Here is a 20,063-nt window from a genome sequence, read left to right as displayed (position 1 = left end):
TTAAAGTCACAGGCAGAATTCTTTAGCCTTGTTAAGTACTTGGTGTTAGGAAGAATATGGAAATTTCCCAGATCTTGAAACATTGTAAAGGCCCTGGGATATACTATCTAAAGGCCTGCAGGCAGTATCCAGAAGTCTTCCACGATCCTTTTTTCTTTTTCTTTTTTGAGATGGAGTCTCACTGTGTCACCCAGTCTGGAGTGCAGTAGCACAATCTTGGCTCACTGCAACCTCTGCCTCCAAGGTTCAAGCGATTCTTGTGCCTCAGCCTCCTGAGTAGCTGGGATCACAGGCATGTGCAACCACAGCCAGCTAACTTTTATATTTTTAGTAGAGATGGGGTTTCACCATGTTGGCCAGGCTGGTCTTGAACTCCTGACCTCAAGCCATCTGCCCGCCTAGGCTAGGATTACAGGTGTGAAACACCGCACCGAGCCCAGGTGTCTTCCACAAAAATTAGCCAGGCATGGTGGCACCTACCTGTGGTCCCAGCTACTCAGGAGGCTGAGGTGGAAGGATCACTTGAGCCAGGGAGGTGGAGGCTGCAGTGAACTGTAACCACACCACTGTACTCCAGCCTGGCTGACAGAGTGAGACTCTGTCTCAAAGAACAGAAAGAAAAGAAAAGAGAAGAGAGGGTTTGATTTTTTTTTGGCTATTGAGGAAACTGTAGCTGTAAATAGTGTTAATTCTCAGAAAACCAGTTAAATGGTAAAATTCAGGAGATCATTATAATCAACTTTAATCATGAAGAGATAGTTACATATGTGGCTCAGTTTCTTTTTTTGTTTGTTTGGTTTTGTTCTTGTTGTTTTGAATTCAGAAGCAGCTTTATTTTAAGAATCTCAATTTATAGTGAAGTCTCAATCTCTTTAGTCATCATTATGTAAAATAGAATAACATTGCAAAGAAAAATCAAATAAAAGATTAAAAATCCTAGGGCTAGCACATGATTGAAGCAATATTGAAGGTCACAGATAGTATAAATTCTCTGATTATTAACAGAGGTGAGCTTTGTTATAGGGAGATGGATCATTATTAAGTCATCTGTCTGATCTAGAGCCAGCCGCACGATCTAATGATTTCATTCTTGGATTATTTTTAATATGTAGAATTAGAGATGTTTGGGAAGTGTTTGCTATTATCTTGATAGTACAGTTTCCTCCTAAATTACTTTTGTAAAGTAAAATAATGTTACATTGGAAGAAAGTGTGTATTTCTTAGTAATGCTTCACAATTCCTCATCCTACATTTCAATAAATCATCTTATACCTGTCAGCACATGTAGTCTAAGATTTATTGCATGGTCCATTGTGAAGCAGATAGCTCCTTGGCCAGAGAGCAATTTCTGAAACTAATTTAATCAAAATGTTTTTATAATACAGTGAACTATGGCTTGATGTCTTAAATATGCATTGATGTCTTCAGAACCATATGATTAAACTCTATCCAATTTTGAAATGGAATTAAGATTTGGCTTCATATGACTTCTGTTATAGTCAGGAAATCTTTGGTTGCATTAATATTATTTATGTACTGTTATTGAGCAAACATTCATCAGTGCCTCTATTTGCACAGCCAACCCGCTAGATGTTAAGATGTTGTGGGGGAACAACAACAAAATACTAGTTTAGTAGAAAGACGTAACTGAGAGCTTGGAAGGAGCAGTAGACATGGCACAATTTATTGGCCAAAAAGGAATCCAGTTTTGCTGAAGTTGAATGTTCATTTTGCAGGGTGGTGGTAATTATAGCTGCCTTCTACTGGGAAAGTTTTAAACCTATAGTTTTGATGAGTTTGCACGCCAACTCAGGAGTTTGAACTTCATCCTTTAAGAGTTGAAAAATTTTGGAGTTTTGAGAGTGATGTAAGCTTACTGGAAAGATTACGTTGACGGCCATGTGTGGACCCAACTGGACAAAAATTAGAGGAATGAAAACCAGTGATTCATGGAAGATTGTTAGAATGGAAACCTTGGGAAGAAAAGGGAAAACTGAAGTCAAGGAGTCTTTTAAAAAAACAACTCCCCAAAATCTTTAGAGAGTGATTAGATAGAAGACATGAAGAGCATAGTAATATCTTTTGTAAAGATCGAGGCCGGGCATGGTGGCTCATGCCTGTAATCCTAGCACTTTGGGAGGCCAAGGTGGGTGGATTGCTTGAGCCCAGGAGTTCAAGACCAGCCTGGGCAACATGGCGAAACCTCGTCTCTACCAAAAATGCAAAAATCAGACTGGCGTGGTGGCACATGCCTATAGTCCCAGCTACTTGGGGAGGCTGAGGCAGGAGGATTTCTTGAACCTGGGAGGTCAAGGCTGCAGTGAGCTGAGATCACACCGCAGTACTCCAGCCTGGGTGACAAAGTGAGACACTGTCTCAATAAAAATAAATAAATAAATAAATAAAGGGAAGGTGGGGAGAAATTTCAAAGGAACAGATGATGCATTTAAGACAGTTGAGTTTAAAATAACAGGGGACCAGCAAAGCTGAAAGTTGGTATTGAACTGATAGTGAGAGACTAAAGCTTAGGTCAGAGTTGAGATCTGAGATCAAAATCTGAATCGTGTCAGGACAGAGGATGGAGTTAAAGCTGTGAAAAAGAATGCCATTGCTGATGGAATATGTACATATGAAGCCACTGTTTTATTATAATTGTTTGGATAGAACATGTTCTGGTGGGAAACTCACTTGCAGTCAAAATTGCACAGTGCTAAAGTCTGCCTTTAATTATAGTAAATGCATTCGATTTGAGAATTTGTTCATTACCTGTATCAGTGACACTTTATTCAAATAAAAACAGCACACTGGAGAAAGATAACAGTTGTGGAAGGCCAAAAGTCCTCTTTGTGATTTACTATCACCATTTAATTATTAAGCTGTCTGATGTCATGTGACACTGCCTCCCCAGAGTGTCCTATCACAGTGATAGACGAAGGTCACAGACATTTGGAAATCAAATTATAAAAGTCACACTAAAAAGTCCTGAGAGCAAAGTTTAACATGTTTGTTTTCAGCTTTATATATTTTCTGTCAAGCTGAATTTTGAATTTTGAAGAGGTACACTGAGTCCAACCAATGGTTGGGGGGGCATTATTTTTTCATCATAAACAGATGAGTCTGGATCCTCTGCTGGCTGGTTGCCCTCTCCCCCTTTCAATACCACTTAATTTTTTTTTTTAAGAACGACGTTTATAAGTAATCAAGAATACACTGGGAGCAACTTCAGCATGACTGTTTTTTTGCGTGTGAGAGAGGGCACGTTGTGAACATCTGAGTTCTATCTTCATTTTTATTAGAAAAAGCAATTTAGAACTGCCAGTCAGATGGGTTAAAAAGCACAGCTGATCGAGGTGCAGCATCCATGCCTGAACCTTCTGTGTGGCATGACATTGGCTCATAACCCCCTTACACCTTCTCTAGCTCTCTCTTCAGTTCTGCTTCCTGTTCCGCAGTAGAGACTGAAGGAACTCGGGAAAGGCCCAAGAATGGGACCTGATTACAAAGCCTTAGTAAGTAATAAGATAACAAAATGTCCACAAGAAAGGGAAAGTGGGGAGAGAAGCAGAGCAATTGCTTACTTCCTACTTAGCTTTTCCTCTCTTTCTGTTTTCCCAGGGGAAGGTGCCCAACAATTTGTATTTTTAACCGGCTCCCCAGGTGACTGCTGTGGTTGGGCCAAGCTACATTTTGAGAACTCCTGGTCTACCTTCTAGATTCTACAGAAAAGATGAGACTTTGCAATTTGTAATTGTTATAACTGGCAAGTCTCCTTCCACTTCTGAGTATTGGACAGTTTTCTCTCACTGGATTAAAAGCAAATGGCTTGGTTTTTAAAAGTTTTTGAAAGTAACATTTATTATTTGACTTCCGCTTTAGCAACACGTTGTATATGTAAACTCAAATATAGTTCAGGGAACTGAGAGCTAGTTCACTTCCAAAATACAGTGACCCATAAATTGTCTTTAGTCATGTATAAACAAATGAATGCTATTGGGAAAATGCCTTAGTAAATATTTTTTGTAAAACACAGCAAATTAAATCACTTTCTAGAAAATCTATTTTTTTTTTCCCCAGGCAAGTGGCCATCAATCAAAGAAGCAGAATACTAGGTGTGGTTTTCTTTGTTTTTGTTTTGTTTTGTTTGAGGCAGTGTCTCCCTCTGTTGCCCAGGCTGGAGTGCAGTGGCACGATCATGGCTCACTGCAGCCTCGACCTCCTGAACTCAGGCGATCCTCCTGCCTCATCCTCCGGAGTTGCTGGGACTATAGGTGCATGCCACCACGCCCAGCTAATTTTTAATTTTTTTTTTTTTTTGAGACAGGGTCTCCCTATGTTGCCCAGGCTGGTCTCAAACTCCTGGATTCAAGTGATCCTCCAGCCTTGGCCTCCCAAAGTGCTGGGACAGGTGTGTGTCACCATGCCCAGCCTCAGAATACTTTATCACTTTGGTTTCCAAATATTGGGAATATTTTGCAATTTACCTTTTAGACTACACAAGGCTTCAGGGCAATGCTCTTGCCTGAGTTGACGTTTGAAAGTGAATAGAGCTGTAAATCTATTCTTTTGTCGTCAGAATTTTTTTAATGTTTTTCCTAAATATTTAAGTTAAATGTGTTAAAATATTGTTGAATGATAAACATCTGTAGTACACTTCTGTTGTGTTTCTGGTGAAAGTAACTACTGTTAAGGTCAACAGACCAAATTTGTATACAAATGCTTTGGCAAATTAGAAATTGAGGTGACCATTCAGTAGCTCTTTTTAGGCATTGGGAATACTCGAATGCAAGAAAGCATTCCCTTATATTTTCAAGTATAAAAAGTCCTCTAAATTCCTTAACAGCAACAATCAGTGTTTCCCCGCTAAGCACTGTTTTAATAAAGTTGCTGGGATTTTCTATGATAAAATCACATAAATTTATACTTCTACATACATCTATATATAATTTTATTCCTGTACTTGTTATATACATATAAGCTGCATTACAAATATATTTTTATTCTGAATAAATCCTAAAGTATAAAAGTAGTAAATTGAATAAATTATTGATTTTCCTTCACTGTATCACAGAACCTGTTTCTCCATTTTGAGCAATGGTTCTCGAACTTGGATGCACATTGGAATCTCCTGGGTAGCTTTCACAAATCCTGCTCCCTGGACCTCACTCAGGCGAAGTTATTTATACTCTCCGGTTGGGAAGGGAGGATAGATCCAGGTGATTGCCATGTGTAGGCCAGAATGGGAACTACTCCCCTAGTAGACACTCCTCATCTTCTTTCCTTCCATGATTTCCACATTTCTTTCAACTCAGTCGAAATCATCTTGAATAGACAAAGGCAGTGTCGGTCCTACTAAAGGTTGAGGAAATGGCTGAGTAAAGATGATGAAGTCAGGGACAAAGGATGCAATGAATTTTAAGAATTTGAGATTCAAACTTCAAAACTTAGGCAAGGGTCTGTTTTTGAAGGTTCAGAGCTGAAAAACAATGGCATGCTTTCATATTCTTCTTTGATTCTGTAGGATGTCCCAAATGGGGAATTCTCTTACATAATATTGATTTTGTAAATTCCTGACAGATCGTACCCACTTTGGATGGAATGGAATTTTAATCTATTTTTTTGAGCCAAAGAGTGTGACCTCCCTTGGCCTTAAATATTTTTTTGTACCACACATGTGGGGATATGAGTATTGTGAAAGCTACGAACCTTTCCTTTGAATGCCACAATTCAAGAACAAAGCTGATCATGTATTGAATTTTAATAATCATTTTCAGCAGCTGGTCCAGAAAAGGGCATTTTCCTCTAAAACCTAAAAAATTCAGAAGATAAATTCCTATAGAAAAAAAGGAAATCATACTTATCTATTCAAAATTATTAGATCAAAGACTTTCAACTATTTTAGCTTCAAATATGTTTAATATATTGAGTTTAACTGACATGAAGTACCTGCAGGATGCGTGGTGCTGGCTTAGAAAAAGATTTGGTTTTCCTACAGTATCTGAAAAACAAAAATGTATTTTCATCCATCCAAGGCTAAGCATCCACTATGAGACTAATTTGACATTCAGGTCTGGTAAAAATGTTTGATGGTATCAGTTAAAACCCTGTTGAAGTAGGAAGACCAGAACATGTTCATTAGTGAGTATCTGGCAATGTTATCATCTACTTAAGATGGAAGAAAGGGGATAAGATCAAAATTATTCAATCCCTGAGTGATGGAGGAAGTAAAGCTTGAAGGGGCCTATACAGACAACATGTATGACATCCATCAGTATCAGGGGATTTTATAGACATTAATTATCTAGTGCTCTACACCCTCCCTGCCTGCCTTTTAAGGTGTATTTTATGATTGAGGAAAAAAAAAAAGACCAGGATAATAGAATTGAGGAAGATAGCAATCAATGAGTAATTCCTTATCCAGTCGGCACTTAAAACTCAATGCTTTATATATTTATTTGCAGAGTGGTAGGAACTAACTAATCCTCATGCTGTGCCTTCCTTACTCACTTTTGACCATGTTTTTGCTATAGCAACCTTGATACAATTGAAGATTGTCATTTCTTACTCTTCCTCAGTTTGAAGCTCCTGCTTTCCTGGACAAAAGACACAAATAAAACAGGAATTTATTCAATCATTGCATTTTATCCATAATTTAAGACATCTTATCTATAATTTTTTTCTGAGTTAAAATTTATTTTGGTGGTTAACAAAAAGAGTCTTTAGAATTTTGAGTACCTGAAGGATTGGAATTTGAGGCATCCTCCTACACTCCCATAGTAGGTGTTGAAAATGTTAAGTTAATTGAATTATATTGAAATTTTAAAATGGCTTGGAGCAACAGAAAAAAAATGTTATGTATAAATTAATTAAAAACTACATGGACTGTTTTTTTTTTTTTACCATCCACATGGATACCAGGGATTTCTTTTCTTTCTCTTTCTTTCTTTCTTTCTTTCTTTCTTTCTTTCTTTCTTTCTTTTCTTTCTTTCTTTTTCTTTCTTTCTTTCTTTCTTTCTTTCTTTCTTTCTTTCTTTCTTTCTTTCCTTTCTTTCTTTCTTTCTTGGATTATTAAAAAGAGAAGGTTGTTTTTTAAATAAGGAAAACAATTTTCTGCAAATGGCCAGATAGCAGATATTTTGGTCTTTGTAGGTACAAGTCCTCAACTTTCTCATTGTACTGTGAAAGCAACAGTAAACAATACTTTATGGCTACAGAAATGTGAGTTTTGTATACTTTTCATGTGTCATAAAATGTTATTCTTTTCATTTTAAAAAAAATTATTTAAAAATGCAAAAATGAGGGCGGGCACGGTGGCTCACACCTGTAATCCCAGCACTTTGGGAGGCTGAGGCGGGTGGATCACCTGAGGTTGGGAATTCGAGACCAGCCTGAGCAACATGGAGAAACCCCTTCTCTGCTAAAAAATACGAAAATTAGCTGGGCATGGTGGTGGCACATGCCTGTAATCCCAGCTACTCGGGAGGCTGAGGCAGGAGAATCGCTTGAACCCAGGAAGCGGAGGTTGCAGTGAGCTGAGATCGCCCCATTGCACTCCAGCCTGGGCAATAAGAGTGAAACTCTGTCTCAAAAAAAAAAAAACCATTCTTAGCTAACAAGCCACACAAAAACAGGCGGCACGCAAGGTTTGACCAGTGGACCAACCATAGTTTGCCAACCTCTGGTTTAGGACATTGAATATCTCCTGATTTGAAAGTTTTCACTTGAACAAAAATAATTAACTACTATTAGTCTGTTCTACAATATCCTCCTCACCATGTAATTCTTAACTGGCAAGTAGATTGCCTCTTTTGTTTTATTTATTTATTTATTTTAAAAGACAGGGCCTCTTTCTGTCCCCCAGGCTGGAGTCCAGTGGTGCAATCATAACTCACTGAAGTGTTGAACTCCCAGGCTCAAGCAATCCTCCCTCCTCAGCCTCCTGAGTAACTGGGATTACAGATGTGTACCAGCTGTAGTCTACAAATTTGACCTGTACCCAATCCTTGGCTTAATATTAATTTTTAATTTTTAAAAAAGTTTTTGTAGAGATGGGGGTCTCACTATGTTGCCCAGGCTGGTCTTGAACTCCTGGTTTAAAGCAATCCTCCCGCCTTGGCATCCCAAAGTGTTGGGATTACAGGCATGAACCACAGTGCCCTGCCTGTGGCCTCTTTTGATATTGCTATGGCAGCCCAGAGTACTGTGTTGAGAAGGATTCAGAAGTTGAACAAGGGCAAATGAGCAGAGAGGGCTGCCAGAGAGTTGCCCAATTGGACCATCCACAGCTCTTCTAGCTGTGTTATAGTCTTACAAAATGCTTCCTTTATGTCCTGCTGATAAAAGTTATAGACTTATTCTTAGAAGCATTTTTCTGCAGGCATAAATTTTGCAACTGAGATCATTGTTTTTAAGTTAGAGAATTTGAAAGGATTCTAGTAATATAGCTTCATGTGATATCCATTCTCAAAACCAACAAATGTATTTATTGGTCATTTGCTCACCTCTCTTATTATAGGCAGAAATGGGGCTGGGGAGGAGGAGTGAATAAAAAAGGCCATTCACATCTCTAATACCTGGAAATAACTAGTCGTCATTGGATCTGCTAAAATTATAACTAAATGAATAGAACTATACTAAGATACCTATTTATCTCCATTAAAATAAAAGCTCTTCTAGACCATACACAGTATTTAAAAGTTGTTCTCTGTATGTTATTGACTACCAGGTTAGAAAAATAAACACTGAACTCCTAATGATGGAATTTATAAATATATGGAACAGATTCTGTGGTGTTAATATAGAAATTTCAAATAAAACCTGACAAGGTAAACACTGTATCACATATCAAAATGACTTAAATTGTAGTCCATGGAATACTAGACTTAAATTTATATGCAGATTGTATTTTATTAGGTTTTTGAAGTTCCCTCGGCGGCCTGTCTTGCCAGGGCATTTGGAAATGGTAGCTATTATAACCAATGAAAAAAATGCATTAAAAAATTAAAACAACCTAAATTACATGTATTTGCGGTCTGTCGAGTCAAACCTGAAGATAGTCTCAGCCTCCTGCAGTGCAATTAAAACATCTTTAAAATTTAGTTACATATAAAGAATTTATGCTTTTATACAAGTGGCATGTGTTAATATGGGTGTGTTTTCATATTAACTATTGTGATTAAAGTTTCTTAGAAGAAAATATATGGGTCGTGGCACTTGACGTGTCCATATCCTGATCACGCTGGAGTGGTGGTGTTGGGTGCCAGGGCTCCGAATACAGTTGCTGAATGTCACTCTGAATATTATGGAATGAAACAAGCCAGATCTGTGTTTGCCTTGAAAGGTATCCAGACCTAATATTGTACTTTAAAGACATTCTGAAGTATTGACTTCGGAATAAGAGCAAGCATTCTTTAAGTCCTGGGCAAACCCAAAAGGAATTACTGAAATCTCCTGTTTCAAGCATACATTTTAATAGTAGTGCTCAATGACAAGTCATTAATTCCCTGCAACCTGACTCTTAGGTTCAGGTCTCCAAAGGCTAAAATTAGGGGCATTTGTCTGCTTCCCTTGCTATTTGATTGGGTATCACTGTATGTAGAAGTACAAAGCTCATCTGTTAAGTTGGATTTACTATTCTCTGCTGGTGTCCCTATCCATGCCTAAAGGCTCATATTGAGATTGGTGTAAAATCAGCTGTCCCAACATGAATTGTTCAATTATCAGCTCAAATAAGCCTTACTAAAAACTACCTAACATGAAGGAGGTTGACTGTGGCTCTGTGAAGATGCATCCAAAATGTGTGCATTAAAAATAAAAATTATAAGAAAAATTAATCACCCTTTTTGCATAAAGTATGTAAGGAAGCCTCATTCTTTAAGCAACACATGTTTTATAACTTTGCCTTCCACAAATTTGACCTATACCCAATCCTTGGCTTAATATTAAGAAACTAAATCTGCCCACAGGTATCCTTGCCTTTTATAAGGACCATTTTGAATTATTTGTATTTCTTTTCTTTGGTGGTAGTGGTGGGAGGGTAGTATTGAATGCCACCAAGTCGTAAACCTCACAGAATAAGAGCACTATGAAAAAATCACTTGGGGAAAAGGTAATGAATTAAGGCTGGGAGCAACTTGACTTTGGGTTTAGATGGAACTTGAAGTTGATGTGTTAGTGATAATTGCTATAGCATCTCTCTATTTTTATAAATCCCGGTTTGGAAAAATTTGTTTGATAATGTTATATTTGCCTTCACAGGAATCCTGTGCTCTGGACAGTGTTATATAACATTCCTCAAAAATTCTTCTAAACTCTCAAGGCCCTCTTCTTGGGGTCAGACTCAACGGTACCAATGAGAAAAGCCTGAAAGCATGGAAGACTTCTGTTGTTTAGCAAAGCTGAGAGAAGACATTGTCTTAACTATCTACACTAGTTGTTAAATTAACTAATCAGTTGATTTACTACATTGGATTTCAGAAGGGTTGTCCGGTGAATATTCAGTTTTCCATGCTAATTGGAAATATCATTGCATATTTAAGGGTGTACGGTGGGAAGGGACTAAGCAATGATGGGTATACAGCAAGTACTCAATACATCCTGTGGCTTTATTATACTCTCTTTTTGCTGGTAGAATTTTCTGCTACACACATGCATTCCAGGCAAAGGGAAGAGACTGCGCCCATGCTCAGACCCAGAAACAAGCCTGGATCCATAAAACAGCTTGTTCACAATGGCAGGAGCACAGCACAGGAGTGGGGAAAGTAGAGGAAAAGAGGTATGAGTAATACTGACCACGAAAGGAAAGGGAGTTGCCCATTCAAACTAACAGATGAGAAGGGCTTCATGGACGAGATGACAACAAATAGTAGCATTAGCATTCATTGAGATTTAGGACATTGCACAACATTTTAGAAATATGTACACTTAGTCTAAAACAGGGACCCGCAGTCCAGATGGGAATTCTGACAATAATCACATCATGAGAAAGCTGAGCAAATAGGATTCAGTGTTTTTGGAAAATGTAATCTTAGGGGGAAATATATTCTTGTAGCTATGTACTACTAAATTGAAAATCTACAGAACAAATCATTTATGAAATGTGTGGGCATGCTTTTAATTTGGTGGTGGTTTAAATATTTTATTAACTGTATGGGCATGCTTTTAATTTGGTTGTGGTATAAGTGTTACAAATTAAGCTTTTTTTAAAAATCAGTCTAAACTCGAAACTTGAAAAACAAGTTTTTTATTTTATTTAACAAGCACCGATACAACACATCGTGAGCCAGGTACTCTTCCTAGGGCTTCCATGTATCTCCTCCTCTAATCATCTTGACAGCCCCATGAGGAAACTGAGGCACAGAGGTTAAGAACTTGTTGAAGGTCTCAGAGCTAGGACTTCAAACCAGGCAGACTGGCACCAGGTTCTGTGTACTTAACCATTATGCTCCTTAAATTAGAATATCTACGAGTCAAAATGCTGTTTAATTTTCTTCAGATTATTGTGGGTTCTGTCAAGCTAAGCTTTCTGCCCATAAGTGAAAGTGCTCTTAGCATCTTGTACAGAAAGAATTCTTCCTAGAGGTTCATTGAGTGGCATCTATTTCAGACTTACACAAAAAGTTTGGGACAAATGTTAGTGTTTAACAGAAGCAGATGTTTATCAGTGGCCCAGACAATATTATCATTTTGAGTTTTACCTTCTAGGCTGGGGGCGTGGCAAACAACAGTTGTGGGTCAAATCTCACTCACCACTTGTTTTGGTAAATAAAGTTTCATTGAACACAGTCCTATCCACTCGTTTACATGTTATCTATGGCTGCTTTCATGCTAAAACAGCAGCAGAATTGAGTCATTGTGTCCAAGAACATATGGCCAATAAAGCCTGAAATATTTACTACACGATCTTTTATAGCAAGTTTGCCACCCCCTGTTCTAGACCAGTGAGGTAGCCACCAGCCAGATGTAGCTCCCAAGTGTTTGAAATGGGGCTGGTTTGAGTTGAGATGTGTCATAAGTGTAAAACATATCAGATTCCAAAGACTTAGTAAAAAGAAAGAACAAAATATAAAATATCTCATCAGTTTTCAAATATTGATTGCAGGTGGAAATGACAATTTTATTAAAATTAACTTTTCTTGGTTCTATTTTTTTTAATGTGACTACTAGAAAAATTTGAAATGTGACTCACATTTGTGGCTCACATTAGGTTTCTATTGATACTGCTGATCTACAGCCTGGAATTTGGAGGATATGTGACCTCTAGGAAAAGCAGAAAGAGGAAAGATGGGGAAAGAGAGAAAACCTCTTGTATTTGCAAATGTCTTTCTAAAGCAATAAAATATTTTCTGATTTGGCTCTTCCTCACAGAAAGGCATACGCAAAAATGGGTTAGGTGGTCTATGGAGATGATCGTAGATGAGTTCTCCCAGAAGCAGACTCTGACTCAGAATTTGAATTGGGAGGTGATCCAGGAAGCACCTGGAGGGAGAGGGGATGCAAACAGGGAAGAGATTGAAGAGGAAAGAGGGTTAATGAGCAGGTTGTTGCTGTGGACCCATGTGCTGCCTCCCAATTGCGCCCTGTGGGAGATTTTGTAGACAGAGGCTCAGAGTGGTTCCACCCAGGAGGTGAAAAAGCTGGGCTGCATATCCACCAATTGCCAGTAATTGCCACTTGAGGGCTGCTCCTAGGAACATCAGCTTCTTCTTACTCTCCCCAGCACCTGCCTTGCCTGAAGCCAGGTAAGGCCCTGGGGTGAAAAGGCACAGGTGCTTGCAGGAAAAAGCCATGAGCAAGCTGGAGAATGGTGCCTCCCAGAGGCACAGGGTTGGGCCCTTCTAGTGTCTGGAACTGTGTCCAAACTAAATGTTCCATCTTCTAATTCATAATTTCAACAGACATTCATGTAGTTCTCTGGTGAATGTGTTCATTTTCTCATTTGATCTTAACAATAGTATAGATAGGTAGATTTATCATTATCCATACATTATGGATGGGAAAACTGAGCCCAAGACACATCCAGTCATTTGCCGAAGAGAGTCCAGCTGGGATGGTAGTCCCGGTCTCCTCCCTCTTCATATGTGGTCACTGACTCCTTGGATTTCTACAAAACTTGCCTTGAGTAAGGAGATGTCAATATATTGATGTTTTCAAGGTGAGAACAGGAAACTAAAACCAATTTTTCTTGTGCTCTGTAGAATTTTTTTAGATATCCATAGGGCAGTATAGAAACTGATATCTACTTAATCCCATGACTTTTATATGGAAAAGTATGATCTCTGTTTTGCACAAGTCACAATCAAAATCAAGAGATTATGGAGACTGCTGACCACTACCACACAGGATGTTAGTGATAGAGTTAATTTCCAGAAAATCTTCAGAGAAGTCCCTGTAGTGGAAGCTTATGGGTGCATGGCTCATTAAGGACTGGATTTTGTTATCTTCCCATTACCCAGGTTCCCTTCAAAGGTGTTGTCAGCCCCTTTGGTACCACTTGGAAACAAGTCTCTCTCCCAGCTTAATTTCCCTTTATTATGCTTCTAACTGACTCGGTAATTCTTTGCAGACTTCAGTAACACTTGTACTATTTAAATTTGAATAACCCCAAAGGATCTGGATAGGTCAATGTGTTTAAACCACAGGCTTTAGTCTATGTATTAGTTGATTAAAAACAGATTTGATGCATGATGTATACTTAATAAAGGGAGGGGGAAGCAAGCAGATGTTTGTAAAATCTCAATGTGTTGGATTGCATTTCTTTGGCCCTCTTTTGCTGACTAACTTTAGAAAAGTCATACTTATGACAATTGAACTGTAAACAGTTAGATGATGTATTTCCCTAGAAATTTCCTGCTGTGAAGGGTCAGCCAAAAAGAAAAGTATCCCCTAGTATTAACATACCAAAAAAGTTGACAAATATACGTTATAATGGTTATGTCTATATCAAGGACATTGAAGAATGGGATGCTTCAAAATCATCCTCTAGTCTCTGACCATAAAGTGATTAGCAGTTGCGATTCATTTAATCCAAACAATAAAAAAAAAAAACTTTGGCTTTTGTTGTTGTTGTTGTTGTTGTTAAAAGCAAGTTTTTCTTTGATGCAAGCATAAGATCAAGTTGTACATAAATCACTGTGTCTAGTTCATTCTCTGACTCTTCAGCCTCTTGTATCCCATTCTTTAAGTGAAAAAGTTATTCTTCCCCTTTAAAATTGTCATATTTGAAATGTTTTGAGTGATTCCAAGACAGAATTGAAGGTTTCTTGTTGGTTTTCCAGTCCAGATGAAATGTGCACAAAGCCTTCCTCTGAAGTTTGAACACATGAGAATTACAGATAAAATATTTTAAAATGTATTTTAGTGAATACATAACCAAGCATAAACATATGTGGAAAGCCTCCAAGGACCGGAAATGAAAGAAAGTGTAGAGTGGTGAGAGAAGACTGACACTGGGCTACTCCCAAGAAGTGGAGATGACATGGGGCAATGGTGACTTCAGTGGACACATAGGGAAGTGAACATCACATGTGGCAAGAGCCTTGTACACCTGGAGGCCAAGACCCCCATGCATAGACTGGACTCAAAGGGAACCTGACATCTTCTCTGGAATTGAAGCCAGACACAGAACTCTCATGGAAGGAAGCAGAGGCACTGAGTCAAACTAGGATCTGTGCCTCTGTTGCACACGAGTGCCTTGTGGGAGCGTCTTCTTTGGGAAAAGAACCTCACGCCCTAACCTCAGAATATGCTTCTTATCTGGCTGGGCTATGTCAATCCCCAAATCACAGCACAGGGAACAAAGTTTACATCGTATGAGCTGTCAGACAAAAATTACAAGACAAAGATAAAATCAGATCCTTGAGAAATAGTCAACAAGCACAGGGAAATACAGAATTGCCTTTTCTCAAAAGAGCTTAAGAATAAGTAAGTTTAGTTGTTTTGAGATTATGGAGAAGAGAATCGTGTTTTTGTAATAGGAACAGAGAGAAATTCAATAAGAAAAGGGAGATGTGATAAAGAACCTACTAGAAATGAAAATGCATTCATTAAAAAATTTTAAAATCAGTCAATAGGATAAACACCAGATTAATAAGTTTAACTTGTTTTAAAAATAACCAGAAAGTTCTGCTTTTGACATATGCATTTTAAGCCTTAGATGAAAGTGGTTCTTTTCCTTAATATACTTTTCTAAATAAAAAATTTAGGGAAGTAGAATGAGCTAAAATTTTCATAAATAAATTTTACAGCATAATGAAATTAACACCTTTATGAACTTGTTAGTTTTCAAAATCCCTCAAACTCTTTCTAAATCCTCTTTCTTGGATGGCATTATAAATTTGAGGTCTGTTTTCTTTTCCATGAAATTTCCTGTTGTTCCGTATCTTTGCCATACTTGTGGAACTGTCTATATGCTAAAACACAGTTTCCCTAATCTTTTGCCCTCTCAACCTCTCTGATGTTGGCATACGACATTGTTCTATTCCCTGCCCATGGAAGATTCTTCCACATGCTCACTTCTTTCTTTCCAAGAAGTTTCCACTGTTGTGCAACAAAAAACCCCTGGACATCCTTCAAGCCTCAGCTGCAAGACTTGGCCCTCTTGGAAACCTTTAACCAGCAGCCATCAACTCTTTCCCTTCTCTTGTTTGCAGCATCTTTCTCCCAGTTTGTACAGTCATCCATTTCCTTGTGGACAGGGAATAGATATTAATATTTTTATTTGATTTCCCCACTGTCTCTTTCAGAGTCTGGCATATTGTAGAAGCTTAATAAGTACTTGTTGTATGAACACATAAGTAAATGAATGAATGGTAGGAACACATAAGTAAATGAATGAATGGTGTAAATCAAGCTTGTCCAACACGTGGCCTGCAAGGCCACCTGCAGCCCAGAAGCGCTTTGAATGCAGCCCAACACAAATTCATAAACTTTCTTAAAACATTATGAGATTGTTTTGTGATTTTTTTTTTTAGCTCATCAGCTGTCATTAGTGTTAGTTATTTTATGTGTGGCCCAAGACAGTTCTTCTTCCAGCATGGCCCAGGGAAGCCAAAAGATTGGACACCCCTGGCAATCAAGAGCATGTGAATGAGAAGGAACAGAGAAATCTTAGTGAGTCTTACCCAGAACAGAGAGCTATTGTGTTTGAAAATAGGATTAAATAGTCATTCCAGAGAACTTTAAGTTTGATGCTCTAAAGGAATAGGGAATAATTCTAGAGTCTTATGCAGGATAATGAGTGGTAAATACAGTGTTCAAAGAAATTTGATCTGGCATTGATGGACAAAGAATAGAAGCATGAACAATAAAATGTACAATTGTTTGTTGGTATCCATAAAGGATTAATTTCAGGGTCTCTCATAGATACTAAAATCATGGATGCTCAAGTCCCTGATATAAAATGGCCTGTTATTTGCATATAACCTAATCACATCCTCCTGCATACCTTAAATTCTCTCTAGATAACTTATATTACTTATTACAATGTAAATACTATGTAAATAGTAGTTATATTCTATGGTTTAGGGAATAATGAGGAGAAAAAAGTCTGTACATGTTCAGTACAGATGCAGTCATCCATTTTTTTCCAAATATTTTTGATCTGCAGTTGGTTGAATCCAGGTATGTGGAACCCAGTGGATACAGAGTCAACTCCACTACAACTGACCAAATGTGTGTGTGATGAGGACTTATCATAAATGTCTATAAATGACCTTATTGTCAGCAAGAGCTAAACAATTCAAACCTTCCTCCAAGGGATTAGCCTCAGCCTGCCCATAAAAGGATAAATCTGAAAAATCCAATGGTAGTTGATTTGATGTGGGAATATATTCCTTATGTTATTGCCAGCTCTGATTCAAGTAAAGGGATAGAAATCCAATTACCTCCTTTCTTCCTAGGTCGTGACCTAGAGATAACCTATAACTAATTATTCTGTTAAGTATCCCTGAGTTAGTGCAAGAAGCAGGAACAAAAAGAATAAAGTCTGAGCGTGTCTAAAAGGTTCTTTTAAATGCAACTTTTGAAAATCCAGTTTAAATCTATAAATACTTGAAATTATGTCGATTTCACTAAGGTTTCTGAAAAATGTATCAGTTTTTCCTGAGAATGAGTAATTTTGTGTATCTGAAGTATAAAAGTATGCAGAATAATATTTTTCCTCTTTTTTTTTTTTTTTTGAACAGCAAAACTTAGAGAGTAACCTCACCAACCTTATTAAGAGGAACACAGAACTGGAGACCCTTTTGGCTAAACTCATCCAAACCTGTCAACATGTTGAAGTGAGTATCTCTGTATTTCTGTATGGTATGTTTCATATGAAAACTGCCAGATCAAGGTTTTGATATCCTCATGCTTTATAATTTTAAAACAAGAATCTTTCTTAAAATTAAATATTTTGCAAAAGCCAAAATAAAAGATGGAGGAAATTAAAAGGAATTAGAACTTCAGAGAGTCTTTCCCATCCAGGGCTGCTTCCCATTCCCATTATAGCTCTTCCTGATCTAGCATTACATAGCAGTCCTAATGTTGGAGATTTTAATTGCCCTTACAAAGAACAGTCAAAAAAGGTATTGTAGGCCGGGCGTGGTGGCTCACGCCTGTAACCCCAGCACTTTGGGAGGCCGAGGCAGGCAGATCACGAGGTCAGGAGATCGAGACCATCCTGGCTAACACAGTGAAACCCCGTCTCTACTAAAAATACAAAAAATTAGCTGGGCGTGGTGGCATGCACCTGTAGTCCCAGCTACTCCAGAGGCGGAGGCAGGAGAATGGCATGAACCCGGGAGGCGGAGCTTGCAGTGAGCTGAGATCGCACCACTGCACTCCAGTCTGGGCAACAGAGGGAGACTCCGTCTCAAAAAAAAGGTATTGTATTAGTGTACTATGGCTACCATAACAAATTACCACAAACTGGGAAAGTATGAAACAAGACTAATTTATTCTCTCAGTTTTGGAGACTAGAAGTCTGAAATCAAGATTTTGGCAGGGCCATGCTCCCTACAAAGGTTCTAGGGGAGGATCCTTCCTTGCCTCTTCCCATTTTCTGGTAGTTGCAGGCAATTCTTGGAGTTCCTTGGCTTTCAGCTACAGCGCTCTAAACCCTTCCTCCGTTATCACATTCTCCTGGTGTGTCTCTGAATATGTGTCCAAATTTCCTTATTGTTATAAAGAGCCCACCCTACTCCAGCCTTACCTCACTTTAACTTGATTACATCTGCGAAGACTCTATTTTCAGGCCAGGCATGGTGGCTCACACCCTGTAATCCCAGCACTTTGGGAGGCTAAGGCAGGAGGATCGCTTGAGCTCAGGAGACCAGCCTGGGCAACATGGCAAAAACCCATCTCTATTAAAAAATACAAAAAATTAGCCAGGCGTGGGAGCACACACCTGTGGTCCCAGTTACTTGGGAGGCTGAGGTGGGAGGATCACCCAAGCCTGGGAAATCGAGGCTGCAGTGAGCTGAGATTGCACCACTGCACTCCAGCCTAGGCGACAGAGTGAGACCTTGTCTCAAAAAAGAAAAAACAAAGATTCTGTTTTCAAATAAGGTCCCATTTACAGGTACCAAGGGTTAGGACTTGAACATACCTTTTTGCGGACACAGTTTAATGCACTGCAGGTGTATATTAATGCATCTTAGTTGTCAGATATGTTTCCATGAAATAAACCACAATTGCAACAACAGCAGAACCTGCAATGACTACACTGAATAAGGAAAAAATAGATGCCACTTCCTTTATGTGATTTTCAAATTCCTCTTCCATCTTCTCCCAAACTGTCTTTTTTACCACCCCACCCCATGAACTGAAACTAAACAATTATCATTCATTACACTTTTAAGCCTTCTGGCCCTTAACCAAGCAGTTCCCTCTGACTGGTAGGCCCATTCCTCTAACCCATGTCTATTTGTCAGAATGCTTCTTGTGTATCCTCCAAGTCCTAAGTCAAGGGGCACTTCAGTTGTGAACGTTTCTCTGGTTCCCTGGACCAGAGTCATCGCTCCTTTCTCTGAATCACGTAACATTTTATGATACCGTGTATGTGATTCAGAGAAAGGAGAGATGTCCCCGCCCCAATCTCATGTCGAATTGTAATCCCCAATGCTGGAGGTGGGGCTTGGTGGGAGGTGTTTGGGTCATGGGGGCAGATCCCTCATGGCTTGGTGCTGATTCCATGATAATGAGTGAGTTCTCACAAGATCTGGTTGTTTAAAAGTGTATGACACTCCTCCCCCACCGCCCGCCCCCCTCCCATACACACTCTTTCTCTTGCTCCTAATTTCGCCATGTGACGTGCCAGTTCTGGCTTTGCCTTCTACCATGTGTAAAAGCTTCCTGAGGCCTCATCAGAAGCCGAGCACATGCCTGGTGCCATGCTTCCTGTGTAGCCCTGCAGCACCCGTGAACCAATTAAACCCCTTTTCTTTGTAAATTACCCAGTATCAGGTATTTCTTTATAGCAATGCAAGAATAGTAATAATCTTCTCATGGCTTTATCATTCTTTCATGTACCAGTTCCATTTTTCCAACCAGAATGTGAGGTCTTAGAGGATGGGAATCAAATCTAATTCGTCTTTGTATCTCACAGACTCTGATGCAATGATTTTCACACAGTAGGAGCTCAGGGAATTTGTTTTAGATGAATTTGCATGATGACTCTCCAAATGGCAAATTTTGAACACTATTTGAATGCCTGCAAGTTCAGCTCCCCTAAAATATCTAAAGTTGGAGAAGCAAATTATTTTGAGCAGGCATTTAAAAATTTTGACAGTAACTCCATTTTTGCAATAAGAATTCCTTCAAGTCCCTTTGATCGTCTACGCAGTAATTATAAGTTTATAGCCTCCTATGTGCCTATAACTGTCAGTAGATGCACAATGTAGCAAATAATAATAAAGATTACAATATGTTAGAGAACAGTGTACACACATATAACAACATATTTAAAGAACAGTAGAGTAGCCAATCAGGTGCTCAGCTAGTAGAATATTGCATTTATGGATTCTAAGATTAGCATTTTTTTGAAGACTAATATTGCTGAAATTGAGCTGCAACTTAAATGAATG

General features: G+C 38.6%; 1 protein-coding gene across 9 annotated transcripts in view; it reads left to right on the top strand.

Annotated features, from left to right (window-relative positions):
* Window positions 1–20,063, top strand: part of MID1 (midline 1) — a 388,374-nt gene that overhangs the window by 293,316 nt on the left and 74,995 nt on the right. For all 9 annotated transcript variants that reach the window (NM_033290.4, NM_001098624.2, NM_033289.2 and 6 more), the window contains one exon: window positions 17,181–17,276. In NM_033290.4, coding sequence (NP_150632.1) covers window positions 17,181–17,276 — 96 coding nt within the window. The remainder of the gene's footprint in view (window positions 1–17,180; window positions 17,277–20,063) is intronic.

This window comes from Homo sapiens, chromosome X (genome assembly GCF_000001405.40).
Source record: "Homo sapiens chromosome X, GRCh38.p14 Primary Assembly".
NCBI classification, from domain to species: domain Eukaryota; kingdom Metazoa; phylum Chordata; class Mammalia; order Primates; family Hominidae; genus Homo; species Homo sapiens.
This window is presented reverse-complemented; position numbering and strand designations above follow the sequence as displayed.